The following is a 25,141-nucleotide window of genomic DNA, read 5'->3' as shown; positions in this document are numbered from 1 at the left end:
GAGAGAGAGAGACTGATTCTGAGTTCCTGGATACCCTGTGGCTTGGGCTGGCCTAGTTCCCCTTCCTTGCACTTGTAGCGGAGAGTTCCAATGGGCATAGTGATGAAATCTATCACCACCATTGGTGTAGTGGAAAGAGAATGTCCTGGGCTTCAGTTCCAGCTCCACTGGGCACTCAGTGTGTGACACAGCGAGTCCCTGTTGATCTCTGGGTCTCAGCTTCCTCAGCTATAAAATGGGGTCATGACTTCCAGCTCCTAAGCGGTGAGTGGGAATAATGAGAGAGTACTAAGGTCTGTGACTCGGTGCCTGCTAGCCAGCAGTTGCTCAGGAAGCGTGAGCTGTCCCTTGTAGGTGGCTTTTGGTTGCAAGTAATAGAAAACTCATCCAGGACCAGTGTAAACAATGAGGGCTTTCATCTTTATAGGCCACAAAAATATCAGGGGAAGGGCATGTCCAGGGTGGTGAATCCAGAAGCTCAGCATTGTCACCAATAACCTGGGTTCTTTCTTTCAGCCTTGCCATTCTCACCGTGGCAGTCATTTCCCTCGAGGTTGCAAAATTGCTGCCCCAGCTCCAGGCATCACACAATGTTGGCCTGAGGAGGAGGTGTTTCTTCTTCATGTCCCTTTGTAAGGGTGAGGAAAACCTTCCCAGCAGCTCCCAGCAGACGCCTCGTCAAGTTTTATTGGCTGGGATTGTCATTCGTCTAAGCCAGTCATGGTGCTCTATTCCCTTGTGAATGCTAGCATCGGTGTAGTGGAAACAGGATGGCCTGGGGTTCAGCTCCAGCTTCACTGGGCACTCAGGGTGTGACAGCATGAGTCCTCTTGTCTGACTGGACAGACAATGGTGGTACTTAGAGCGAAATACTCAAAGAGAAACTCAGCTACTTTTATAGCAAAACTTCCTTGCATTTCTTTATAATTTCACCCAAGAGTGCCTTCTTAAACTCTACAATTTAGTCTTACCCATGTGCAAACTTTTAAAATAAATTGTAATTGTAGTAAGAAACACAATATAAAATTTACCATCTTAACCATTTAAAATGTATAGTGTAGTAGTGCCAAGTACTTTTTCATCTTGCTGCCTGGGCAACATGGCGAAACCCCATCTCTACAAAAAAATGCCAGCATTTATAAGGGAATATAACACCATGATTGGCTTAAACAACAAAGACCCCAAGGGGCCAGGGTGAGAGATGGAATGAAATTTGTTTGGTGAGCAAGGAGCAAGGGGAGCGTGACTGTGTCTGCCGTGTTTGTTCACTGACATTCCCCAACCATCTCACACAGAGCCTGGCCATGGCAGGCGCTCAGCAAGTCCTCACTGGATAATCGAATACGTGCCCAGGCCTTCTTTCCATCCAGCAGGGTAGAGTCGGGGGAGCAGGTTCTTAGGTGGAGGGAATTCTTCAGATGACTGTGGTGATGCGTCTTTAAGAATCTTCTAGGCCAGGCTGGGCATGACGGCTCATGCCTGTAAATCCCAGCACTTTGGGAGGGCAAGGCGGGCAGATTGCTTGAACCTAGGAGTTTGAGACCAGCCTGGGCAACATGGCGAAACCTCATCTCTACAAAAAATTAGCTGGGCCTGGTGGCGGGTACCTGTAGTTCAACCACTAGGCTGAGGTGGGAGGATCACTTGTGCCCAGGAGGTCGAGGCTGCAGTGAGCCATGATCTTGCCACTGTACTCCAGCCTGGACAAGAGTGAGACTCTGTCTCAAAAAAAGGAAGTTCCAGGCCTTAGGGGAAGTACCCAGGACCTAGGACCCAGACTCACTGGCTTGTTAGGGACCTGCGGAGGAGGTTTTGGCTCTCAGTGGGGCCAGAGGGGCCAGGTTTGCATGGCTGCCTCAGTTCTTCTAGGTCTATTCTAGTTGCTTGGAGCATTTTTTTTTTTTTTTTTTTTTGAGACGGAGTCTCACTCTGTCACCCAGGCTGGAGTGCAGTGGCGCTATCTCAGCTTACCGCAACCTCCGCCACCCAGGTTCAAGCAAGTCTCGTGCCTCAGCCTCTCAAGTAGCTGGGATTATAGGCACCACCATGCCCAGCTAATTTTTGCATTTTTAGTAGAGGCGGAGTTTCACCATGTTGACCAGGCTGGTCTTGAACTCCTGACCTTAGGTGATCTGCCTGCCTCAGCCTCCCAAAGTGCTGGGATTACAGGTGTGAGCCACTGTACCCAGCCAGTTGCCTAGAGCTTCTGAGCAGCAGGCAAGGAGGGTGAAGAGGAGGGAGCAGGTGGAGGGAGGTGAGGTGGCTCCTCTAGGAGGGGTCTAACGGCTGCAGAAGGTGGCAGGTTTCCTTGGGCAACAGCATGCAAACGGTGGCAGCTGGGATGGGAGGACCAAACTCTCTTGTCAATCTAATATTTAGTTCATTCAGTTTCTCTTCACTGAGCACCTGCAATGCGCCAGGCATGTGCTAAACCAGGAGATAAAATGACGAGCTAATACAGGCATGACTCCTGCCTTCTTGGAGCTTAAAGCCTAGCGAGTGAGGCAGATATGAATCAAATAATTCTAAAAGTAAATTTAAATTGTGACTACGGTAATCCACTTTTGGCCTCCCAAAATGCTGGGATTACAGGCGTGAGCCACTGTGCCCGGCCAAGTATTTTTAAAGTATATACATTGCCTTTTAAAACACAATAGTAATTGCATGCTTAAGAGACTACAGTGTAGGGTAAACATAACTTTTATATGCACTGAGAAACCAACAAATTCATGTGACTCGCTTCATTGCAATATTCTCTTTATTGTGGTTGTCTGGAACTGAACCTACAATATCTCTGGAATATGTCTGTATTTCCAGTAAATTGGTAAATCTAGAGGCTTGATCAAATTCAGGTTTTGATTTTTTGACAACTATAGGTGATGGTGTGTTCCTTCCTCAAGAGGAGCACATAATGTATTATTTGTGTGTGTGTGTATGTGTAAAGGGAGTGACGTTCACAGCTGCTGATACACAATGCCTAGATTCATTCATTAATTGGTGGGTACAAAATGGTATCACTCTAATTTGATCATTCCTTTTTCATTAATTAGCTGCAACATCTTTCTTAGCAGTCAGCCAGTAGAGAGAAGCTAAACTATAACCAGTGCAATACCGCTTTTTTGTATCTTATTGTATTTATTTTTTGAGACAAGGGCTTCCTCTGTTGCCCAGGCTGGCATGCAGTGGCATGATCATAGCTCACTGCAGCCTCGAAGCAGGCAGATCACTTGAGCCTAGGAGTTTGAGACGAGCCTGGGCAACATGGCAAAACCCCAAATCTCCCTCAACATACAAAAATTAGCCAGGCGTGGTGACATGCACCGGTAGTCACAGCTACTCAGGAAGCTGAGGTGAGAGGATCACTTGTGCCCAGGAAGTCAAGGCTACAGTGAGCTGTGCTTGTGCCACTGCACTCCAGCCTGGGTGACACAGCAAGACCCCGTCTCAAAAAAAGTAAAATAAATAATAAAAAATAAAGTGGTGAAAGTTGTTACTTTCAGGAGAGGGAAATGGGGACGAGGAACTGCCATTTTCATAAAAAATCTTGCAGAACAAGTTGTCCATTTATGTCCATGGATAACTTTGATGAAAAATAAAAACTAAAATGAAAGGATAAGGCACAGAAGGAGCACGGGCTTTGTATGACACAGACCTGCGTTTGAGTCTGGAATCCCTTACTTCGTTAGCAGGGTGTTTATGAGTCACACGACCTCTTTGAACCTTGGTTTTCTTACTTTATTTTACTTTTTTTTGAGACAGAGTTTTGCTCTTGTCGCCCAGGCTGGAGTGCAATGGCATGATCTCGGCTCACTGCAACCTCCATCTCCCGGGTTCAAGCGAGTCTCCTGCCTCAGCCTCCCGAGTAGCTGGGGATTACTGGCACGCACCACTATGGCTGGCTAATTTTTGTATTTTTAGTAGAGATGGAGCTTCGCCACGTTGCCCAGGCTGGTCTCGAACTTCTGACCTCAAATGATTTGCCTGCCTCAGCCTCCCAAGTTGCTGGGATTACAGGCGTGAGCCACCTCGCCCAGCATATTTTATTTTTTTGAAACAGAGTCTGGCTCTGTTGCCCAGGCTGGAGTGCAGTGGCGCGATCCTGGCTCACTGCAACCTCCGCCTCCCAGGTTCAAATGATTCTCATGTCTCAGCCTCCTGAGTAGCTGGGATTACAGATGTGCCAACATGCCCAGCTAATTTTTGTATTTTTAGTAGAGGTGGGTTTCACCATGTTGGCTAGGCTAGTCTCGAACTCCTGACCTCAAGTGAACAACCCGCCTCGGCCTCCCAAAGTGCTGGGATTACAGGTGTGAGCCACTGCGCTCGGCCAGTTTTCTTATTTTAAAATGAGGCAGGGGTTTGGGGTGGAGAGGCTAATTCCCACCCTATCCAGATCTCATGATGGCGTGATAGTGAAGCGGAAGATTTTGTACGCTGTGCAGGATGAACCCCACAGGAAGCGTTATCCTCCCCGATAAGACACAGTGCCTTGGTGACTGTTGAGGGGCAGGCTGTGCTTCAGGTGCCAGAGAACCTCGGGCAAATCAAGAGGTGCCAGTCCCTGCAGTCCAGCCTCAACTTCTCTCCTCTTCCCTCTCCTCAGTCAAGAAAAACCAGTTAGTTCCACTTGGTAGAAAATGTGCCCAAACTTGAGCCTTTCCTGGGTCCCATGCTTACCTGTGTGCTGCGTTAATCTGCCAGCCCTCTGTCAAGGGGCTTCCTTCCTGTGGGGTGCCCCTCCCGCTGTCACTCTCCCGCATCCAAATGTGCTCTTCAGAAGCCACTTCCTCCTGGGAACTGAACCCAGACTTTGGGGAAGCTGCCACCAGTCCATAGTGAGAGTCAGGCTTCCTCAGAGTGTGGCTTAACAAATTGAAGATGATAATTAATAATTAAGATGGTAAGATGATTAATTAATTATCTTAATCAACATACTTGTGTATACATGAGGGAAAGCTGAGAGTTTTGCCTCAAAGCACAGCTGGCTGGAGCACTGGATTGAGATGGTTCTGAAGCCGAGCTCAAAGGAAAGGAGTGTGGTGATTAATTAGCGACATCTGCCGCGGGCCGGGGAGGGGAGAATGGTAGCTTGCCCACTATGCACTTGTCATCCTGGCCGAAACGATTTCTTCCTGTTTTCTATTGAGGCATAACCTTCATAAAGTGCACTGATTTTAAGTGTATAACTTGATGTATGTTTACATACTTATGCTTAAACGTGTATATATGTGTATAAATATTTATACACACACGCACACATTACCACCACCTAGATCAAAATACCATTTCCAGAGGCCCAAAATGTCCCCTTGTGCCGGCTTTCAGTTACTGCTGTCTCAAAGGCAACCATTATTTTGACTTCTGTCACTATAAATTAGATTTGCTTGTGTTCTATTTCATATACATTGGATTAAACAATATATATTCTTGTGTCTGGCTTCTTTCACTCAGCATAATGCCTGTGTAATTCATTAATGTTGTTGAGTGGCTTGTTCTTGCTCATTATTCCATTGTATAGCTACGCCACAATTTGTTTATCCATTCCCCTGTTGATGAACATTTGAGCTGCTTCCAGTCTGAGCTATTCTGAATGAGGCTGTCATAAATATTCTTCTACATGTCTTTTGGTGGACCTAACCGCTCATTTCTGTTGTGTGTGTATATATATCTATATCTATACATCTATGTTTATATACACATGTACAAATATATATACGTACAAATATATATGTGTGTGTATACATATATTCAGGAGAAAAAGTGCAGAGTCACAGGGTAGGTAAACGTTTAGCTCGTGAAGTAACTGAGTTTGACTCACCAAGCCTTGAATTGCATCAAACGTGAACGGCTTCCATTGCATGTAAAACAGCGTGCTGGGCTCCAGGTACACACATATCTGTTAAACTGAGACTCTGACTCTGAGATATGATATCAACTTAGAGCAAGTCTTAAAGAAAAGCAAACACCTAATACAACCAGGCAGCTCATTCTCTAACCTTTCCCTATTTTCATATTTTATAGTACTTCATATTTTTTTTTCTTCTTTTTTTAATCCAGGGTCTTTGTTACCCAGGCTGGAGTGCAGTGGCGAGATCTCAGCCCACTGCAGCCTTGACCTCCTGGGCTCAGGTAATTCTCCCACCTCAGCTTCCCGAGTAGCTGGGACCACAGTTGTGTGCCACTATACCCAGCTAATGTTTGCATTTTTTGTAGAGATGGGGTTTCACCATGTTGCCCAGGCTGGTCTAGAACTCCTGGACTCAAGTGATCCACCTGTCTCAGCCTTCCAAGGTGCTGGGATTACTCACATGAGCCACCATGCCCGGCCTCTATATTTTCAATTACTTAATTGAACTTTGGTTTCCTGCAGGCTCTAATAAATCTTGCATTCCCCCCAATTCTTTCTTGACTTTCCAGAGGTTTGTTTAGGCTTGTTTTGCCAGATATCATGTCTTCTTTAGCTTTCTTTGGTTGTCCCAGAGCAGATCTTATCTGTATTGGCTAGGAAAAGAGTTGGGGACACATCCCCAGTCCAGTGATCAGTTCCCTATGCCTGGAAATTTTTTTTCCAATCAAGAAGAAAAAAACTTCTCCAAGAATGACCTCTTTTAACCTCTTTTAAAATGGGCTTTTGCTTTTTGAAATAACAGCTGCAGTATTTATAGTCTGTATTGAATACTTATGTTTGGCCACTAAATACTTCTGGCTGTAGAAGACTCCTGACTTGTAAATTTGCTTTTGATTTTAACAAGGATCACATGTCTTGTTTGAGCAATATAGGGCCTTGTTCATGGTGGATGCACAATAAATATTGAATGAACTTAATGAAAATCATTTAAGAAAACATTACATAGACTGTAACTAGAGGCGATGGAAATTTCCTTCCAGCTCTAAGGTTTTAAGGCGAAGCCCTCAGAGGATATCTTCATCCTCAGCCTTGGGAAGGAGTGGGGAGATGACGAAGGGAGGGAGGGAGTGGCTCTTTTTTTCACTGTAGACAGGAGTGGAGCTGCGTGGGCAGCGGTCGGGCGTCCCTGGGTTGGGTGTATTCATCCAGCCTCCAGCTACTCTGACTCTAAACAATGGTCAGTACTCTTGGATTTCTAAATTCTGTCTGGTCTTAATCTAAACCCAGATTAAGGACCTGGGTTTTCTAGTCCCATTTCCGTTCGTTTGCGTTTCACAAGCATTTATTGAGCACCTACTAGGTTCCAGGGACTGCGCTGGGGACTAGACTGCACACATGAGTTGCACAGAAGCTGACAGATACGTGGGCAGGTAGAACCACAAAGGCTTCATCTCAATATGTAAGCGGGGTGATGGAGGGAAGGCATTCGGCTCTGCCCCCAGCAGTTCTGTGACCTTGGGGCAGCTGCTTCTCCTCTAGGGGCGCTATTTCCTTATCTGTAAGATAGGGGGATTGCAAGGTTTTCTTTCCGAAGTCGCTTCCAGCTGTACTGGGCCGGGGGGCTATGCATCTGTCCCCGCCAAACGACGCTGAGGACAGGGTGGTTGGACAACTGGACAGGCCTCAGAGTGGACAAACCCAGAGCTTCCCTGGGTGCGCCCCTCACAGATGGTGCCTGAAACCTCCCGAAGGGCCTCTGCGCCGCCCCCATTCCCGTTTGTCCGGAGGCGCTGTTTTGATTGATCCAGTAGAGGTGCGCGGTTTCCGTTTGCTTGGCGCCCTTCTTAGCAAACGCACCCACCCCCAAGCGGCGGTACAGATGGCCCCGCCCCGCCCTCGCGCGTCCTCGCGGCCCCCTTGCGCTCCCTCCCCCGGGAGTCCCGTCGTGCAGAGCCGCGCCTCCGCGCCGGGGAGCCAGTGTCCGCGAACCCAGCCGGCACTCCGGGTTCCGCGCCGCTGCCCCGACGCCGCGGGCCGGGGCTGGTGAATGTTTATGGAGGAGGATGAGAGATCCTCCAAGGACCCAAACTGGCTTGGCAGCGGAAGCCCAAAGCAGCCACCAAACGGTCGATTTAAAAAACTCATCCTGCCCTCCCTGGAAACCTCTCCAAGCCTTTCCAGCCTGGCCTACCTCAGCTCCCTGACCCAGCTTCAGTATTGCGACGGTGATTTTAAATCTGCCAGCAGTGTTGACACCGCTGTCTGGCCTTTGCAGGTGCCAGGCCTGGGCGTGAACAGGGGGCTTTGCCACCCACTGGCTGCATAACCGAGCAGCAGTCGACAACTCCTCCAAGGCTCCGGTTTCTCCTCTAAACAGTTAACAGCAACTCCCTTACAGCGTTACCTGCAGATCATTCCTGTGTGACATCATTCCAGATGTGACATCAACAGCAGGCAGTTTTGTCATTGTGCAGTAAAAAGGTTCAGGGTGTGACATCTGGCTTCAGACTGCCTGGGGTAAGATCCCCTGTCCCTGTCAGTGGGGCATGATGAACAAGTTTCTTAACTCCCTGGGCAGCAGTTGCTTAATGCTAGGGATCACTGGCAGCAGGAGACAAAGACCAGTGGAGGACCCGCGTTCTGGACCACATTTTCTCCCTTAGCTGAGCCATCACTTATTATTTTTTATTGTGCTAATTATATACATATGACAAAATTTACCATTTAGCCATTCTAAATGTACAATTAGTGGCATTAATTGCATTCATAGTGTTGTGCGATCATCACCATTTATTTCCAAAATTTTTTCCTCACACCTAACAGAAACTTTGTACGCATTAAACAATAACTTTCCATTCCCATCCCCCTCCAGCCCCTAGCAACCTCTAATCTACTCCTTGTCTACATAAATTTGTCTGTTCTAGATATTTTCATACAAACTGTCGCTTATTTTTTATTTTATTTTTCTGAGACAGAGTCTCTCTCTGTTGCTCAGGCTGGAGTGCAGTGGTACAATCTTGGGTCACTGCCACCTCTGCCCCCCTGGGTTCAAGCAATTCTCTTGCCTCAACCTCCTGAGTAGCTGGGATTACAGGTGCCTGCCACCACACCCTGCTAATTTTTGTATTTTTAGTAGAGATGGGGTTTTGCCATCTTGGCCAGGCTGGTCTTGAACTCCTGACCTCAGGTGATCCGCCTGCCTTGGCCTCCCAAAGTGCTAGGATTACAGGCGTGAGCCACCGCGCCCAGCTCGTCGCTTATTTTTTAAGCACCCTTTGCAGATTAGAGCAGCTCCCTCAGTGCAGGAATATAAAATGTGTTATTTAGTATTTAGTGTGTTCACATAAAATCATTAAATTTCGTATACGAAATTTAGTGGTAATTTTATTCAAACTATAATGGTAATTACATTTTTATTTCTAAAAATTTTTTGTAGCTTATTGTAGAAAATATGGAAAATATAGAAGGGTATAAAATAAGAGACTAAAAATCACTGATAATTCCAATGATTTAACATTTGGATGTATTCTCTTTTAATTAGATTAGATTTACTTTTAAGTTCATTGAATGTTTTTAGGCTAGGAGCTGCTGAATCTAGGTTTTTGCCATTTTGAGAAGGACAACTACATTTGCGATGAGAAGACCACCCACAGTCTGTGAGGGAAAGGAAAGGTCTAAGAATATCTGGGTTTCGTGTCAGTTACACAAGCAGACCCAGAACACACACATTTGCAGAAGGAGCTAAGGAAAAAGAAGAAGAAGGAATCCTCTAAAATTACTTGTACATAATGTTTGTCAAACGGAACTTTCTCTAGACAGACCTGTTGCCTAAGTTATCCCTATAACCAATTTTGGCTTTTTAAAAAAATGAACACACTAACCACATGCCTGTACATGCAGCATAAGGCACTTTCTTTTTTCAGTTTTTAAATTTATTATTATTATTATTATTATTTTTGAGATGGAGTTTCTCTCTTGTTGCCCAGGCTGGAGTGCAATGGTGTGATCTCAGCTCACTGCAACCTCTGCCTCCTCCCAGGTTCAAGTGATTCTTCTGCCTCAGCCTCCCAAGTAGCTGGGATTACAAGCATGCACCACCACGCCAGGCTAATTTTGTATTTTTAGTAGAGACGAGGTTTTACCACGTTGACCAGGCTGGTCTTGAACTCCTGACCTCAGGTGATCCACCTGCCTCGGCCTCCCAAAGTGTTGGGATTACAGGCATGAGCCACTGCACCTGACCAAATTTATTATTATTTATATATTTACTTTTTTGAGACAAGGTCTTGCTCTGTTGCCCAGGCTGGAATGCAGTGGTGCGATCACGGCTCACTGCAGCTTTGACTTCATGGGTTCAAGCCATTCTCCCACCTCAGCTTCCTGAGTAGCTGGGACTACAGGCGCAAGCCACTGTGCCCGGCTAATTTTTGTATTTTTTGTAGAGACAGTGTTTCGCCATGTTGCCCAGGCTGGTCTTGAACTCCTGAGCTCAAGTGATCTGCCTGCCTTTGCCTCCCAAAGTGCTGGGATTACAGGCGTGAGCCACTGCGCTTAGCCCATAAGGCACTCTCCTATGTACTACCCATTCAATCCCCACACTGGCCCCAGGAGGTAGATCTTAAGTAAATGGGTATTTTACATCTCAGCTCTGCCACCTACGTGCTGTGTGACCTTGGGTGAACTCCCAAACGTCGTTGTGCTTCCAGCTCCTTCTAAGTTTCTTGGGAGTATTAAATGATTTAATAGGTAAAGGTCTTGGAAGAGTATGAGCCCCTGGAATTTATAGGTACAATAGAAGTGTTTGTTAGTTGGTAGGATTATTCTTTACAGACAAGGCCCCCAAGATGCAGATGGATTAATGAGCTCCCTGATGCTGCATTTTTGTCATCTTCTTGGACTTTGGAGGACTGAAGGCTGACTCCGATGGAGAAGGGGATGCGGTGGAGAAGGGGATGCGATGGAGGAGGGGATGTGGTGGAGAAGGGGGTGTGATGGGGAAGGGCGTGTGATGGAGAAGGGGGTGTGTTGGAGAAGGGCATGCAATGGAGAAGTGGGTGTGATGGGGAAGGGGGTGTGATGGAGAAGGGGGTGTGATGGAAAAGGGGATGTGATGGAGAAGGGGATGTGATGGAGAAGGGTATATGATAGAGAAGGGTTTGGCTCTATGATGGGCTTCCAAACAGGGTCTCTTCCTTCCTACCTGCCATGGGAGGCAGAAGGGGCTGAGGCAGAAGACAGTTAAAGGAGAGAACATAGATCATATCTCATGCCTCAGCTTAAATCCCCAGATGACTTCCTATTCCCCTTCGATGGGATGGGGGTGCTGACCTAACCCCGCATGAGGAAAGGCTTCTTGAGGAGTTATTGCTTAAGCTGAGACCTGAAGGGTGTAGAGAGCCACACCAGCCGTGGGAAGACCATTCTAGCGTAGGGACTGGCCTGCACCAAGCATTATGTGCTTAATAAACTGCGAGAAGCCTGTGTGGCTGAGGCCCCTTCCTCTCTGGCCAGCTTCAGGGCACTTGTCAGGGTCATGTAATTGTCTGTTTGTTTGACTGTCTTTCCCCAGCACACAGAGCATGTTTTGAGGGCTTGAAGTATTGTCAAAAATTTCTTCCACATTTCTGTTTCTGGCCAAGAAGATATAATGGGACAATTTTACCCCTCCTGGCTTAAACAACTGACAAGCCAGGGAAAAATGGAAACAACTCTTATGAGACACTAAACAACCGGTAGTGTGGGGCAGTGATTTCTGAGAGAGAGGAAACAAATGGGATGAGCCCTGTAACTGCCTGGCTTACAGCGTGGAGAGAGTTTCCAGGCCACAGAGCAAGAGGGGGACCCAGGTGGAACCCAGCATCAGTCTGAATTGAGGAATCAGAGCTGAGAGTCCAGGGAGGCCAAGGTGGCTCAGGTTCCCATGGAAGACGGGAGAGGAAATTGCTGCACAGAGAGAATGAGCAGCTAGAGATCTGCAGATGGTTCTTCCCTGCTGTGCCACCCTCTCCTCCCCTAGTCTTCAGCTGAGAACTGATCAGTGCCTGTGTGTAAACTATCTGAAGGTGGGAAAGTTCCACCCAAAAGGAGCAGGCAGAACAATCCTTGGAGTTCCTGCAGGGTTGGGATTAGCTGGCATTTCCACCAGCCAGAGCAGAAGCCTCCTAATTCACAGGGCACTGGGGAGACCATTCAGAAGGGTAGGGAAATCAGCCCTCGACCACAGGCTAGTCCTGGTCCTGCCCAAGAAAGCTTAAAAGCAAGCCTCAAAAGGATCCAACTGGCTCCAAGTAACTTGACTCTGTTCCAGGACAAAGCTCAAGAGTATTTTTTCAAAATACAAGAATATCCAGCACCCAGCAAGGCAAAATCCACAATGTCTGGCATGAAATCTATAATTACCAGGGTACAAAGTACTGTAGCTCCCCTTTATCCATGTTTTCACTTCCTGTGGTTTCAGTTATCTGTGGTGTAGTACAATAAGATATTTTGAGAGAGAGGGAGCTAGAGAGATGACATTCACATAAGTTTTATTATCGTATATTGTTATAATTATTCTATTTTTCTTATTAGTTATTATTGTTAATCTCTTACTGTGCCTAATGTATAAATTAAACTTTATCAAGGGTATGTAGGTATAGGAAAAACATAATGTAATAGGGTTTGGTACTATCCTTGGTTTAGGCATCCACCTGGGGTCTTAGAATGTATCCCTATGTAGATAAGGGGGGACTACGTAGTAGGAAAATATGATCCATAATGAAGAAGAAAAGTAATCAATCATTTCAAACCCAGAAGTGATACATATAATAGAATTGGTAATGTAGTTATTACAACTATATTCCATATGTACACTAAGGTAGAGGAAAATATAAGCATGTTAAGAAGATACGTGGAAGATTAAAAAAAAAAACCGAAGTAGATTTTCTAGAGATGAAAAGTACAATGTCTGAGATAAAAATTGTACCAGATGGAGCCGGTACGGTGACTCAGGCCTGTAAGCCCAGCTCTTTGGGAGGCTGAGGTGGGCAGATCTCTTGAGATCAGGGGTTCCAGACCAGCCTGGCTAACATGGTGAAACCCGATCTCTACTAAAAATACAAACATTAGCTAGGCACGATGGCACACGCCTGTAGTCCCAGCTACTTGGGAGGCTGAGGCAGGAGAATCGCTTGAACCCGGGAGGCGGAGGTTGCTGTGAGCTGAGATTGTGCCACTGCACTCCAGCCTGGGTGACAGTGAGACTCCATTTCAAAAAAAAAAAAAAAATTACCAGATGGGATTAACAGCAGATTAGATACTGTAGAAGAAAAGATAATGAACACGACAATACACCAGGAGAAACTCACCAAAACGAAAGAGAGAGAGAAACAAGGCTAAAAAAAGGAACAGGGCATCATCCATCCATGGACTATGAGACAACTCCAAATGGCCTAATTATGTATAAATGGGGCCCCCAAAAATGAAGAAAGAGAGGAGGGAACAAAAAAAAGTGAAGAAATAATGGTTGAAAACTTTAAATTTGATGAAAACTGTGAACAAGATACAGGAAACCCAGTGAACCCAAAGCACAGATCTCTTCTATTTCCAGTGCGTGGCTCTCAGCTGGCATGCAATCAATGTCTGATGAATAGATGAATGGTTGCTGTCAGTGCAGGCTGTCTGCCTGCTTTCTGCCTTTCTTTTCCTCCTCTTCTCCCACCCCAGCACCCACTTTGCTTCTCTCTTGCTTCCAGTGCTTCTATTTACCAGAGTTATCTTGGATGCCTATGATGGCCTCTGGGCTATAAACGCCACTTGACCTTTAGTCTAGGAGCTTGTCCTTGCTGTAGGCTTTGCCACTGAGAGCCTCCAACAATTCAGCCTCCTCCAAATTTGACAATAGCCAGGGGTTTAGAGACTAAAGCTAAGATATCATGAGTCCTGCTGGCACAGACTTCCCAGAGACTCCTGTTTTCGTAGTTCCCCTGTGGTGGCAGGGCCAGGAGGAGTGCCCAGGATGGACTGGATGCTGTGTTCTGCCCGGGTGTGTGGCCTCATTCACGGCCCACCTCTGCAGCTCCTTTGCCTTGTGAGGTCAGGCTGGTTGCTTCATTTCTCTGGGCTTCTAACTGTTTACTGGTGCTTGGATTTGATCATTTTTTAATCCCCTTCCAGCTCTGACATCTTGTACTCCCCTGCCACTCTCCCTTGACCATCTTTCTCTTTCACATGCCTCATCCTTGCTAATGGTGTGTGGAACCTGGAGATGAGGAAGGCAGGTGGGCCTCAGATCCATTGTCCCTGCCAGGCTCCTTCCTTCAATGGCTCCCCAGAGTTTTCAGTCTAATTCCAAACTCATAACTCAGCACACCAGGCCTTGATTCTTAGAGCATGGTCTCTGGAATCACCTGCATCAGAATTAGCACCGCCTCTACCCCCCATTCCCAGCTTGCTAACACTGAAGGTTCTGACTGGGAAGATCGGGGGTGGGTCACAGGAATCAGCATGTATGATAAGCACCCCAGGGGGGTTAAAATGTATTGGTAGGGGGAAATTAGCTCCTACCACACAGGGTAAAAAATCCGAACAAAGGCTGGGTGTGGTGGCTTACGCCTGTAATCCCAGCACTTTGGGAGGCTGAGGCGAGAGGATCGCTTGAGCCCCGGAGTTGGAGGCTGCAGTGAGCTATGATTGTGCCACTGTACTCCAGCCTGGGCAACACAGCATGATTCTATCTCAAAAAACAAGCAAAAAACCTCCCAAACAGTAGAAAAGAAACATCTGCTGCAACTTTCTCCTTGCTACCTCCCAAGTCACCTCCCTGGAAGCACCAGGTTCCAGAGACACTGGTTCCAGAGGTGGTGCATTTCCAAGCCCATGCATATATAGACATGTGTTTGAGGACAGGGCCAGGCCAGGTGATGCTGAAAGCCCAGTGAAGCCAGAGAAAGGCTGCACCAGGGCCTCTGGGGTGTGTCCTCATTACCTCTGTAACCTCCATCTGTGCTCCCCACCTGAACCCCCTGCCACAATCCAGCCTTGCTGGACGTGCCCCAGCTCAGCCATTGAGAATGCTGCCCCCAGTCTGTGTGACTTGCCTCAAGTGCTTCTCTTTGCTGAGAGAGCCTTTTTTCCTGTTTTGTTGCCCAGAGAATGCCTATTTATCCTTCAAGACCTAGTTCAAGTGCCTCCTCTTCCAGGGAGCCTTCCAGCCCCACTCTGTGCCCTCATTCTGGGTTCTCTGCAATTCCACATTCGCTGACACCCAAATGAATATGCTTTCCTGCTTCCTGTTTCTGTGCCCCCACCGGACAGTGAGCCCACTGAGGGCCAGGGCCATTCTTGTCCCCTGTTGAATTGCTGAGTTCCAGTACAGCACATGTAGTACACAGATACTCCGTAAGTGGTGTTTATCAGATGTCTACTTAGAAGGCATTCTGTCTCACTTTTCCTTTTTGCAGTTTGGAAATCCATCCCACAATGCTCCTCAGCCTCACCCAGGTTCTCCCGCTTCTTGGTGCTCCAAAAGGGGCTGGTGGCGGTGGGAGAGAGGACTCTGTGCAGAAGCCATAAAGAGAACGCTCTCTTCTTGAGTCACACGGGGGAAGTGGCCCTCAACTCCCAGCACATGTGGCTGAGAGGACTCAGAGGGGACTCACGTCACTGGGCTGGGGAGACTCAACCTCAAATTTCCCTTCCAGGGGGTTGCCCTGCTGGTGGCAGGTGAGCAGGGACAGGCTTGGTGGAGTATTCCTGGCAGAAGCAATGTGCCAGGCCTGCCTCCTCCCCACCCGTGCAGCGGGAGCAGGTGGCCCGGCTGCAGGGAGGGGGTAGGGAGACCCAAGAGAGGGAGGGGCATGGGAGAGGAAATTGAAAAAACAGAGTGGGGCTTGGGGGTGTGCGGCCAGCCAGGCAGTTGTTTAACAAGTAAATGTGCCGGGCACGCTAATGAGCTGCGCTCATTCATGGCGAGCCGCCTCCTGAATTGGGGAGCTGGCCAGGTTCTGGGGTGGAGGAACCAGGGACAGGAGCCAAGCTGGGGAGCTGCCCGCTGCTTGGGCAGGGCCCCCTGTGATGGGCTGCTGGGGGAGTCTTTGTCCTGGGTCTGGGGGGCTCCTTCCTTCCCTCCCTTCAGAGGAAAAGCCAGGCTTTGCCAGGCAGCAGCAACTCAGCCCAGGGCCTGCTTGGGATTCACTGTCCAGGCTGGTCTGGAAGCTTCTAGGGCAGGGGCTGGTTCTCAGGAGCCATAGGCAGGGCTGATCTTGCACCCCTGCTCACTCCCACCCTTCCTCATACCCCTTCACTCTGTCACTCTGAGGACCTAGGGGCATGTCGCCTGGCTAATCAACACTCTCTCCCTTCTCCACATGGGTCTTGGCTTCCAAGGGGCCCTCCGAGGTCCTGGGACCAGGGAGCTACTGCTGGAGCAGAAGGCTGGAGACATCTTCAACAGCCTGAGTGCTGTCTGTGACAGGCCTACTAAGTGCCAGGTGCTGGGGTGTGTGTCTGGGTGAGCGAGTGAGGATGCCAGGGGGTGGGCAGGGGTGTGGAGAAGCAGCTGCAGGTACTAAGAGGGGATAAACAAAGCAGCGGGCATGGAGGAATGTCACTCTGAGGCTGCGGGGAGAGCATGGATAGAGGGGCTGGGGCCCCATGGAGCAGGAGCTGGTGAGCTGCAGGGCAGGGGCAGCCCTCTCAGACTCCGGCCTGGTTTGTGGGAAGCTTCCCTAATATCCCACCACACAGGCACCCCTGAGAAAGCCCTGCCCCCTGAGAAACTGAACTTATGCTCAAGAACCCACTTACCGGATGGAGGTCATGGACAGGGATGTGTGAAAACTTTAAAAGAACTGTCAAAAGCCCATAAAATCAGCCACCTAAATTGTAACATACTGTGCTATGACAGTAGAGAGACTGCAAAATTCTCATCAACATGGAAAAGAAAAGCAAAGAAAACGCCTGAGCCTTGGGTACCTGGTGGGTGATAAGGCTTCAACCTTGTGGAGTCTATCAACCTCCCCTATCCCCACCCTGCCCGACACTCTCCCCACCAAATGCGTCCATGCTGTGTCTGGACCCAGGCCGCTCCTGAGACGGGAGGTGCTTCTCGGGCTACCCAGCTGTGTCCTCTTGCCAAGCAGCCTCACGTCAAGGCCCCGACTGCTGGACACTGCCCCAGCGAGCCACAGCTGTCCTTGGCGTTGAGGAGATCTTTCGTCTTTTCTGGGGTTGAGGAGAATTCTCTCCCCACCTGGATGTCCCGTTCACACCCACGTCCACACATGCCTTACGGTGACGAAGGTCCCTACCCAGCCGGGTGTGAGGCCTGGGTCTGACGGGGCTGGCCTGTGGGGTTCTCTCCCAAGCAGGCCGCCCAGCGCTATGCCAGCCCTCTCTGTCTCCTTTGATGTCAAGATGGAATATTCATTTTCATCTGTTTCCACCTGTCAGAAATGGAGGAACGCTGGTGTGAGTGGAGGAAGACGTTTGCCAGATTTCCAAGTCCCCTTAATGTCTGTCCCTCTCTTCTACAACGGGGGAAGAAGCCCGTGTAACTGTATGGTACAAATACGCCCTGCTGAGCAAGTGTTCCAATCAGAGCCATTCTCATCCTGGGCATGCGGCTAGCTTGTTCCCCTCTGAGAAGTGGGTGCATTGAGGTAGGAAGGAGACTGTACTCCGCCTAGCGCTTTCGTGGACCCTCCCCCCCGACAAAGCTCCATCCTCAAAGTCCAGGCTAAGTAAGGTTGGTGGCTTGAGGATGCTACCTGGGGCACAGGCACAGGGTTTCCCTTAACCAAGAATTGACACAGCGAGTCGGGTGGGGCCGAGAGGCCGCTGCTGCCGTCGGGGGATGGGGGGAAACGGGTCTGACTCCCCGGGAAGGCGTCCAAGCGGCAAAATAAGATCTCCCTCCCACCCTGGACTAGCAGCTGGGGCCGCGGGTGCCGGGGTGCGTGCGTCTAAATGTGCGCATCCTCGCCGTGTGTGTGTGTGTGTGTGTGTGTGTGTGTGTGTGTGTGTGTGTACAGCCAGGACTTGGCGGGTCGAGTCACACCCCCTTCCCTCTTCTCCCATCCCCCGCAGCCCCGTGCCCGCTGACGGCGCCTCGGAGGTTCCACCTTTGAAACTGTAGGCGGCTTGCAGCCGCTGAGTGGTCGTCGGGAGAGGGGGGCTGCGGCGGGGGAGGGCGGGGAGGAGCCTGGCCCTGGATGTGTGCTTTTCGATTGATGGATGACTGCCGGGTGGGAGCGAGCGCGCGGGTGTGTGTGTGATCGTGTGTGTGTGTGTGGTGTGTGCGCAGGGTGCGTGCGCGCGCGGGGCCTGCCCATTTTCCTCCTCGCAGCAGTCAGTTGGGAGCTGGAGGGAGGGAGAGGGAGACGCAGGCGGCGAAACGGCAGAGGAGCCGAGCCCCCTCCGCCCAAGGCGCCCTCCCTCCGTCCGCGCACAGGCGCCGTCGCTTGGAGGAGCAAGGTGCCTCCCAGCCCGCAGGGGCGCCGCGCGCAAGCCCGCGGGCTCTTCGGTGGCTCTGCCCCGGGACTGCACCTGGAGGCGGCCCCGGACGGGGATGGTCAGCGGCTGCTGCCGTCTGGCTCGCGAGCGGGACGCTGTGAGGGCACCATGGCGCTGACTCCCGGGTGGGGGTCCTCGGCGGGGCCGGTCCGGCCGGAGCTCTGGCTGCTGCTGTGGGCAGCCGCGTGGCGCCTGGGTGCCTCGGCGTGCCCCGCCCTCTGCACCTGCACCGGAACCACGGTGGACTGCCACGGCACGGGGCTGCAGGCCATTCCCAAGAATATACCTCGGAACACCGAGCGCCTGTGAGTATGGTCCCCGCCCCTGGCTCCCTGGCTCCGAGGTTGCCCTCCCACCCAGACGCAATTCCGGACTTGGGGGTGGGGGCAGGACCATTGGGGCCCGTCCGGGCTCCGCAGCCCACAGACGGGTCAGTGCCTGCCGGGGTCTTTCCCGAGCCAGGAGCCAGGAGCGCCGTGGTTTCCCCATCCCTGGGATTCAAAGGGCCCTCGGCGGGGTTGTCAGCTTCCGTCCTCACACCTGCACCCTGCACCCTGCACTCCGCACCCTCAGGCCCTCCTCACTGCGCCAGCGCTTTATTCCTCCAGGGTGCCTGCGAACTGGTGTCAGAAAGCCTTCCTTGCACCCAGGAGGGACACTTCCCACACTCGCCAAGCACAATGTCTCCTTTTGGGCACATGGGGCTACGGCCGCGTTCTGAGCCAGCTGCGCAGATTCCCGCTCCCAGAGCTTGCTCCTGACGAAGGGCAGCAGGGTGGGATGGAGGCGAAGTTTCTGGTCTGCCCCTTCTTCTCCATTGTTTGCCCCAGAGCCTTGAGAATTCTTCCCCTGCAGGTGCCACGCGTTGGTCCCCTACTCACCCGCCTCCCTCCACACCCAGCCATCCCCAACACAGGCAGACAATGGGACCTGAGGGCTTTGGGTATGGGGCTTGGGGTATGTAACATTCAGCACCCGAAAAGGGGCAGGTGTGTCTTGGATGGAGAACCCGGTGGATAATGCCAAGAAGTCAGGAGCTTGGAGAGGGGGGCCCAAGGTTAAAGATATTGACCATGACAAGTAATAAAAAAATAGCATTTCTCTTCCCCTGTTCTGTCTCACTTGTGAATTCTTGAGGAAACTTGATCCTTTTCTTTTCTAGACCCAGTAAGCTAGTAGAATGTGTGTGTGTGTGTTTGGGTGTGTTTGAGTGTGTGTATTTACAGACCTTTATACTTTGTTTTCTGTGACTCTCCTGCAGAATGTGTTTCTGTGTGAATTCCTAGTATTAAGGGGCCACCTTAATAGCGTGAGGCCATGAGAGTCCCCGTAATGGGCTGTGTGTGTGTAGATTTTGGTCACATGCAGGGCCTTTGTACTGCTCGCAGAGGTGACTACACCAGGAGATTTTTGAACAGGGCTTTGGAGAAGGCTGCTGGCTCCTTTGAAACCTACCTACTCCTCCTTCCCACACTCCTCGGTGACTGCAGTGGCTCTCAGGAAAGGTGTGCATATTTTGATAACTTTCGAGCACATTTTCATGGCCCCCAGCTGGTCAGAGACAGAAATCTGACCCTGAGGAGAGCTGTCTCCCGAATCAGACTCTGTACCAAGGCCAGCAATTAGTGAGCACACATTTGCCCCAGACTCTTCTTGGCTGCATCTGAAAAATTCCCGTGGAGGTTTTAGAGAATTTGCAATCTAGATGCAATCTAGATGGGAAGTGTGTGTGTGTGTGTGTGTGTGTGTGTGTGTGTGTGTGTGGTGCATGTGTATGTGTGTGTGTGAATGCTTGTGTGTTACAGGGCTGGGGAGAGGTGGTACCAAACTGAGTTTCTGTGGGCAGCGTGTGCATTATCCTGTGTGGACCCAGAGAGGATCTGAGGGTCAGAAATCTGTCCAGAGGACCCCCGCAGTGGCCTGGTCACCCTCCATGCCTGTCCCCTCTGTACCTGCTCCCTGCTCCCCTTGCCTTGTCCACTGGAGTTTCTCCTGAAGCTGCTACCCTGGTTGCAGCCTAGATCTAAGACACATTAGCCCTTCTTCTTTGCTTTTGAATCTTGAGTCTTAAAGTCATCTCCTCCCTCTTTACTCTCTCACCACCTTTAGTGTTTAAGACTTCCATGAACTCTTTAGCTCTTTTGTGATCAGAGTGAGATGAAAATGAAATTTCCTAGTACAGAGGAAAGAGGTGGCATTCTGGGAGCTATACTGCCTGGTTCCCCAGCTCTGTCACCTATTAGCTGTGTGACCTTGGGCAAGTTACTTAACTTCTCTGAACCTTAGTTGCTTTCCATCAGGAAAATGGGGCTGAGGCTACATAAGGTCTCTGGTTCTTGTGAGGATGGAAGATCATGTATGGGAATTGCCTGGTACCTTCTGATGCTCGCTAAACGAGAGCCATTATTATGATAGGATAGGGAGGGGAATCTCATTATTTTAATTCAGCAAATGTTTCGGAGCCAGGAACTGCCCTGGGTGCTGAGGCGTCAGCAGGGAGTGAGCCCATCCCTGTCCTCAAGGGGCACATGGTCTAGAGAACTGGGCAGAGGACCTCTAATGGTGAGCTCTCAGGAGAGGGCCAGGCAGCCTCAGGGAACGGACTGTGGGAACACTGGGGTGAGAAGCCCTTTTCCAGGGTGAAGGGGTTTCTCAGAGGATGGGCCACTTTATCAAGGTTGGTTTGGATTTTGCCAAGCACAGAGGGCAGGCAATCTAGGCAGAGGGAACAGCTGGGCTCCAGGCCCAGCACATTCTGCTGCTTGTCAGGTCATGGGGCCTGCTTTCTTGCAGACGTCTTTTTTTTTTTTTCCTTTTTTGTAGAGATGAGGATCTGGCTATATTGCCCAGGCTGGTCTCAAACTTCTGGGCTCAAGCAATCCTCCTGCCTCCGCCTCCCAAAGTGTTGGGATTACAGGCGTGAGCATAAGCAAAAAGCCAGCAGGTGTGAGTATGAGCCAAAAACCTGCGGGTGTAAGCATGCCTGGCCCGATATGGGCAGATGGACCAGCTTGTCCCTGGGGCTGAAACATGCTCTGGCCAGTGGCCAGTGGGTGGGATGGGACTTGAGGCTGGAAAGAGATGTTGGGAAGGGTCAGGAAGACTTTCTATATGTGAACTTTTCCTCTGGGAACTTCCTAGTTGGAAGCCAGGGGTGAGTTATCCTGGGGAAGTGGAGCAGGTCTGATCTTTGCCATGTGGGCAAAGCTTCCTGGACTGGGAAAGCGCAGGGAGCCCGCCTGTTCTCCAGGCAGCCCGTGAAAGAGCTGCTCAAAGAGGAAAAGAACATCTTGAAAGAGGCCTTGGTGAGAGCCCAGGCAGACTCAAAATAACTGTGGCAAATGCTCTCTCTAATCAATATGAGTGTTGTGCAGTATCAGAGCCTGAAACAGTGGCTTCTTCTGAGGCTGTGAAATTTTTATGGACTGCAGCTGTGCATTTGCCTTTTGTCCTTTGGGCAGTTTCTGCGGCAGCCTGCGAGGCCCAGCAACTTTATGATCATATATTCTATAACTCTGGGTCCAGGCCTGTCCCCCGAAATGGAAAGAAATGGTCATTGGTTTGCTGTGGGGACTTCTGGAAAGAGGTTGGGTAGGCCCCAGAGCTGCTGAGGAAATTGGTTCAGCCAGAGGGGCTGTGGGGCTGGTCAGCTGGGCAGGGAAGGGATGCTAAATAATTCACTGTAATGAACAGTTAAAATACAGAGCCAGGGCTGGGAGAGGTGGCGGAGGCGGCCCGGGAAGCTTCCTTTCTTTGTACTGCCCAGGCGCAGAGAGACCCAGCCATGGTCACCATTAAGTTATTTTTTTCTTCCACAACGACCTTGACTTTCAGTTGGACTTGGTTTTTAATTTAAAAAATCTTTTGAGTGTCCAGGAGAGTGTGACAGGAGAGTGCAGTATGTGTGGACATCGCTGGTTCCCCCAGCCCTGGGCATCCTGGGTATTTGAGGTTTGTGGAAGGTTCCCCTTGTGCAGAGAGGGTAAGTTGTCCGAGGATGGAGGGAGGCAGGCAGGGCCTCTGGGAAGGCCTACTGTTCTCTCTTTGCCTCCAGGCCCAGCACATTCTGCTGCTTGTCTGGTCTTTTTTTTTCCTTTTTTGTAGAGATGGGGATCTAGCTATGTTGCCCAGGCTGGTCTCAAGCTTCTGGGCTCAAGCAATCCTCCTGCCTCAGTCTCCCAAAGTGCTGGGATTACAGGCATGAGCCACCATGCCCAGCCTTGCCGTCCTCCTTATGTGCCCTTCCCTCCTTGCCAGTTCGTCCACCCTGCCCTATCTCCATGCCTGCTGTAGAGGCCTGGGAGGCCCTCTCTAGACTCAACTCCCTGAGCTAGAGGTCCCATTTAACAGGGCTGAGTGGTCACGCATAAGGAAGGCTGCCCAGGGCACCTGAGGCTGATCCTCTGGGGAGCCTGTTTGAAATTCCAAATAATAATTGGATGGTGACCTTGGTAAATGAGGTCAGGGGCCACTGCAGCCACATCTGCCATCAGGGCCCGATTGGATCTGAGCAGGCCACCATGGTCTCCTGCAGCAGAGGCCTGCGCTGTGTAGGGGAGGTGCCTCCCTGCAGGGCAAGAGTCTCCTGCTTGCTTAGGCTTTGGTGTGGTCACTGGCCCACTGGCTTATTGCTGGGCTCTGAATGACTGGTGTTAGGACCCCCGTGCCGTGCCTCTCCCTGCTCTGAGACCCAGTTTCCCCATCTGTAAAACGGGACGACGACAGCTGTGCAGGTTGATAGTGAGGAGTAAGTGAGGCAGCGTGCCACGCTTGGTAAGTGGCTGGTGTTCGCCCTTCTCTCGGCCTCTGGGGCTGATAACACCTACTACCTCAAAGGGCCTGTGCACTCACTCATGCTACAGTTGTGAAAATGCTTTGTGATTCAATCATTAGGATATTATTGTTATTATTTGGGAAGCTCAAGCTAGAGGCTCGAGGGTTTGGGTGGGGCAGAAGAGAGCTCGGGAGGTAAGGATTTGAGTGTTGCCTCTCTTGCAGTCTGTCTGCTTAGAGCGCAGTCTGTCTGTTTAGAGCGCTCATTTACCTTTCCTGGGCATCTCTGCCCCTTTCCCTTGGGATGTGGAGACAGAGTGGGGACTGTATGCAGGGCGGATGGTCGTGATGGGAGGGCTGTGAAGCCAGACTGCCTAGGTTTTTAGCCCCACTCTGCCACTCAGCAGCTGGCGGGGCCTTGGGCAAGTGATGGGGTTTAATTCCCTCATTCAACAGATAGCTATCTATTGAACGTCTGCATTGTGCCGGGTGAATAGTGCTGGACAGAAACAGAAACCCGAGTTTTAGTCCAGCAGGGGAGATAGAGATGAATGACATAGTATAAGAATAAGCACATAACTGCAAGCTGGGATAAGTGCTCTGGAGGAAAGGGCGACTTCTCAGAACCCCCATTTCCTTGCCCATAAAGTGGGGATGATGATAGGGCCTGCTCCAAAGGGTGGTCATGAGGATTAAATGCGGTAATGCTCGCAGGAGCGCTTTGCACAGGGCCTGGCAGACAGCGAGTGCTCAATAAATGGTAGTATTATTATTGTTATTAAGGTGACAGAGAATTGCAGGGATGTGAAGGAAATTTGGGCGTCACGCTGGATCCCAGGGTGGCCCTCCTCTTCGCCATCAGGCAGCCGCTGGGAACCCTGGAGCACAAGGGGAGGGGCTGATCTTCCTCGGTGCCCCTTCTTGGGCGGGGCGGGCTGTCGGTGGCCCAGGCTGCCCGAGGCTGCCAGCAGGGGCGGCCGTGCTCTTTTGGGGCTGGGCGGCTCCTGCATTATTGGGAGCAGACGGGTGCTTGGCGGAGTTGCCGCCTCCAGTTCTGTGCCGGCATTAGCAGCTCGGCGGGGCTCTTGCTTAATGGGATTTTCTTCCCAAATCCTGTAATTATCGCCATACAAATACTTATTACCCAGAGCAGATGATGGCCAGGCCTTGGGCAGTAGCCAGGGAGCTGGGCTGTGCCGGGGGGCGGGGAGGGTGTGGAGAATTGGCTCCTCTTTTTGACGGAGCTCATGACCCCCTCCTCTCCTTTCTGGAACCCAGCCTGTGGCGGACAGACAGCTGTTGGGCACCTGCAGGGTGCATAGCGTCGTTGAGAGAGGCCTGAGGAGCTTTTGGCCTGGTGAGGGAGAAAGAACAAAAGTGTAAGGATGTCCATAGAGACGAGGAGCACAGTGGCTACCAGCCCAGGCTTCAGTACGAGAATGGCCCAGTTTGAATCCTGGCTTCATCACCTACCGAGAGATCTTAGACAATTCACTAGTGACTCAACTTCCTCATCTGTAAAATGGGACCAGTGACAGCATTTACCTCATAGGGCTGTGAAGTTAAGATGAGATGATTTTTTTGAGACGGGATCTCACTATGTTCCCCAGGCTGGTCTCAAATTCCTGGGCTCAAGTGATCCTCCCACTCAGCCTCCCAAGTAGCTGGAACTACAGGCATGCATCACCATGCCCACCTAATTTCTTAGTTTTGATAACTGTCCATGGTTATGAAAGAGGTTAATGCTAGGGAAAGCTGGCTGAAGGCAGCAAGAATAAAGATTAATAATTAGAATAGAGTAATGCCTGGCACATAGTCAATGCCCCATCAGCATGGAGATGAGGCTGATGAGAGTCGCTAGATGGGAGTGAGATGGGGAGGAGGGATTGAATTGTTGTTGTGTTGTGGAGGTAGGGTTTGAACTGGGGCTTAAAGGCTGGGCAAGACTTAGGTTAAGTAGCGAGGCGAAGCGAGGGTAAGGGAGTTTGGGAGCATTCAGAAGGTAAGTGCCATGTATTTGGGAAGGAG

The 25,141-nt window shown here is 50.4% G+C and overlaps 1 protein-coding gene and 2 long non-coding RNA genes across 4 annotated transcripts in view, besides 6 other annotated features; 2 read left to right on the top strand and 1 right to left on the bottom strand.

Moving 5' to 3' along the window:
- The window catches only part of ARHGAP19-SLIT1 (ARHGAP19-SLIT1 readthrough (NMD candidate)), a 139,632-nt gene that overhangs the window by 88,551 nt on the left and 25,940 nt on the right, over positions 1-25,141 (top strand). The gene's annotated exons all lie outside the window — the stretch shown is intronic.
- Positions 377-976: an enhancer, noted in NCBI's record as "OCT4-NANOG hESC enhancer chr10:98962904-98963503 (GRCh37/hg19 assembly coordinates)". NCBI's record gives its function as "activates a minimal SCP1, AML or CMV promoter by ChIP-STARR-seq in naive H9 embryonic stem cells {active_cell/tissue: H9 hESC(naive)}" and the evidence as "EXISTENCE:reporter gene assay evidence [ECO:0000049][PMID:30033119]".
- Positions 402-8,223, bottom strand: LOC112268065 (uncharacterized). Of its 2 annotated transcripts, none has more exons than XR_002957098.2 (3): positions 8,040-8,223; positions 4,678-4,863; positions 402-838 (listed from the first exon to the last, which is right to left on the bottom strand). It is a non-coding gene; the product is annotated as an uncharacterized LOC112268065 (long non-coding RNA). The 2 variants fall into 2 exon arrangements; XR_007062256.1 differs by lacking the exon at positions 8,040-8,223 and adding an exon at positions 5,819-5,901 and having other exon boundaries at positions 453-838.
- Positions 1,653-1,712: a silencer, noted in NCBI's record as "silent region_2668". NCBI's record gives its function as "represses an Ori minimal core promoter by ATAC-STARR-seq in GM12878 lymphoblastoid cells {active_cell/tissue: GM12878}" and the evidence as "EXISTENCE:reporter gene assay evidence [ECO:0000049][PMID:35858748]".
- Positions 7,371-7,610: an enhancer, noted in NCBI's record as "active region_3846". NCBI's record gives its function as "activates an Ori minimal core promoter by ATAC-STARR-seq in GM12878 lymphoblastoid cells {active_cell/tissue: GM12878}" and the evidence as "EXISTENCE:reporter gene assay evidence [ECO:0000049][PMID:35858748]".
- Positions 7,741-7,790: a silencer, noted in NCBI's record as "silent region_2667". NCBI's record gives its function as "represses an Ori minimal core promoter by ATAC-STARR-seq in GM12878 lymphoblastoid cells {active_cell/tissue: GM12878}" and the evidence as "EXISTENCE:reporter gene assay evidence [ECO:0000049][PMID:35858748]".
- Positions 17,319-17,819: an enhancer, noted in NCBI's record as "H3K4me1 hESC enhancer chr10:98946061-98946561 (GRCh37/hg19 assembly coordinates)". NCBI's record gives its function as "activates a minimal SCP1, AML or CMV promoter by ChIP-STARR-seq in naive H9 embryonic stem cells {active_cell/tissue: H9 hESC(naive)}" and the evidence as "EXISTENCE:reporter gene assay evidence [ECO:0000049][PMID:30033119]".
- Positions 17,820-18,320: an enhancer, noted in NCBI's record as "H3K4me1 hESC enhancer chr10:98945560-98946060 (GRCh37/hg19 assembly coordinates)". NCBI's record gives its function as "activates a minimal SCP1, AML or CMV promoter by ChIP-STARR-seq in naive and primed H9 embryonic stem cells {active_cell/tissue: H9 hESC(naive and primed)}" and the evidence as "EXISTENCE:reporter gene assay evidence [ECO:0000049][PMID:30033119]".
- The window catches only part of SLIT1 (slit guidance ligand 1), a 187,922-nt gene continuing 180,944 nt past the window's right edge, over positions 18,164-25,141 (top strand). Inside the window, exon 1 of the mRNA NM_003061.3 lies at positions 18,164-18,645. Coding sequence (NP_003052.2) covers positions 18,449-18,645 — 197 coding nt within the window. The 5' untranslated portion in view covers positions 18,164-18,448. The remainder of the gene's footprint in view (positions 18,646-25,141) is intronic.

Source organism: Homo sapiens, chromosome 10 (assembly GCF_000001405.40).
Source record: "Homo sapiens chromosome 10, GRCh38.p14 Primary Assembly".
NCBI classification, from domain to species: Eukaryota; Metazoa; Chordata; class Mammalia; order Primates; family Hominidae; genus Homo; species Homo sapiens.
Note: the sequence above shows the minus strand (reverse complement) of the source record. Positions and strands in the feature narration are given on the sequence as shown.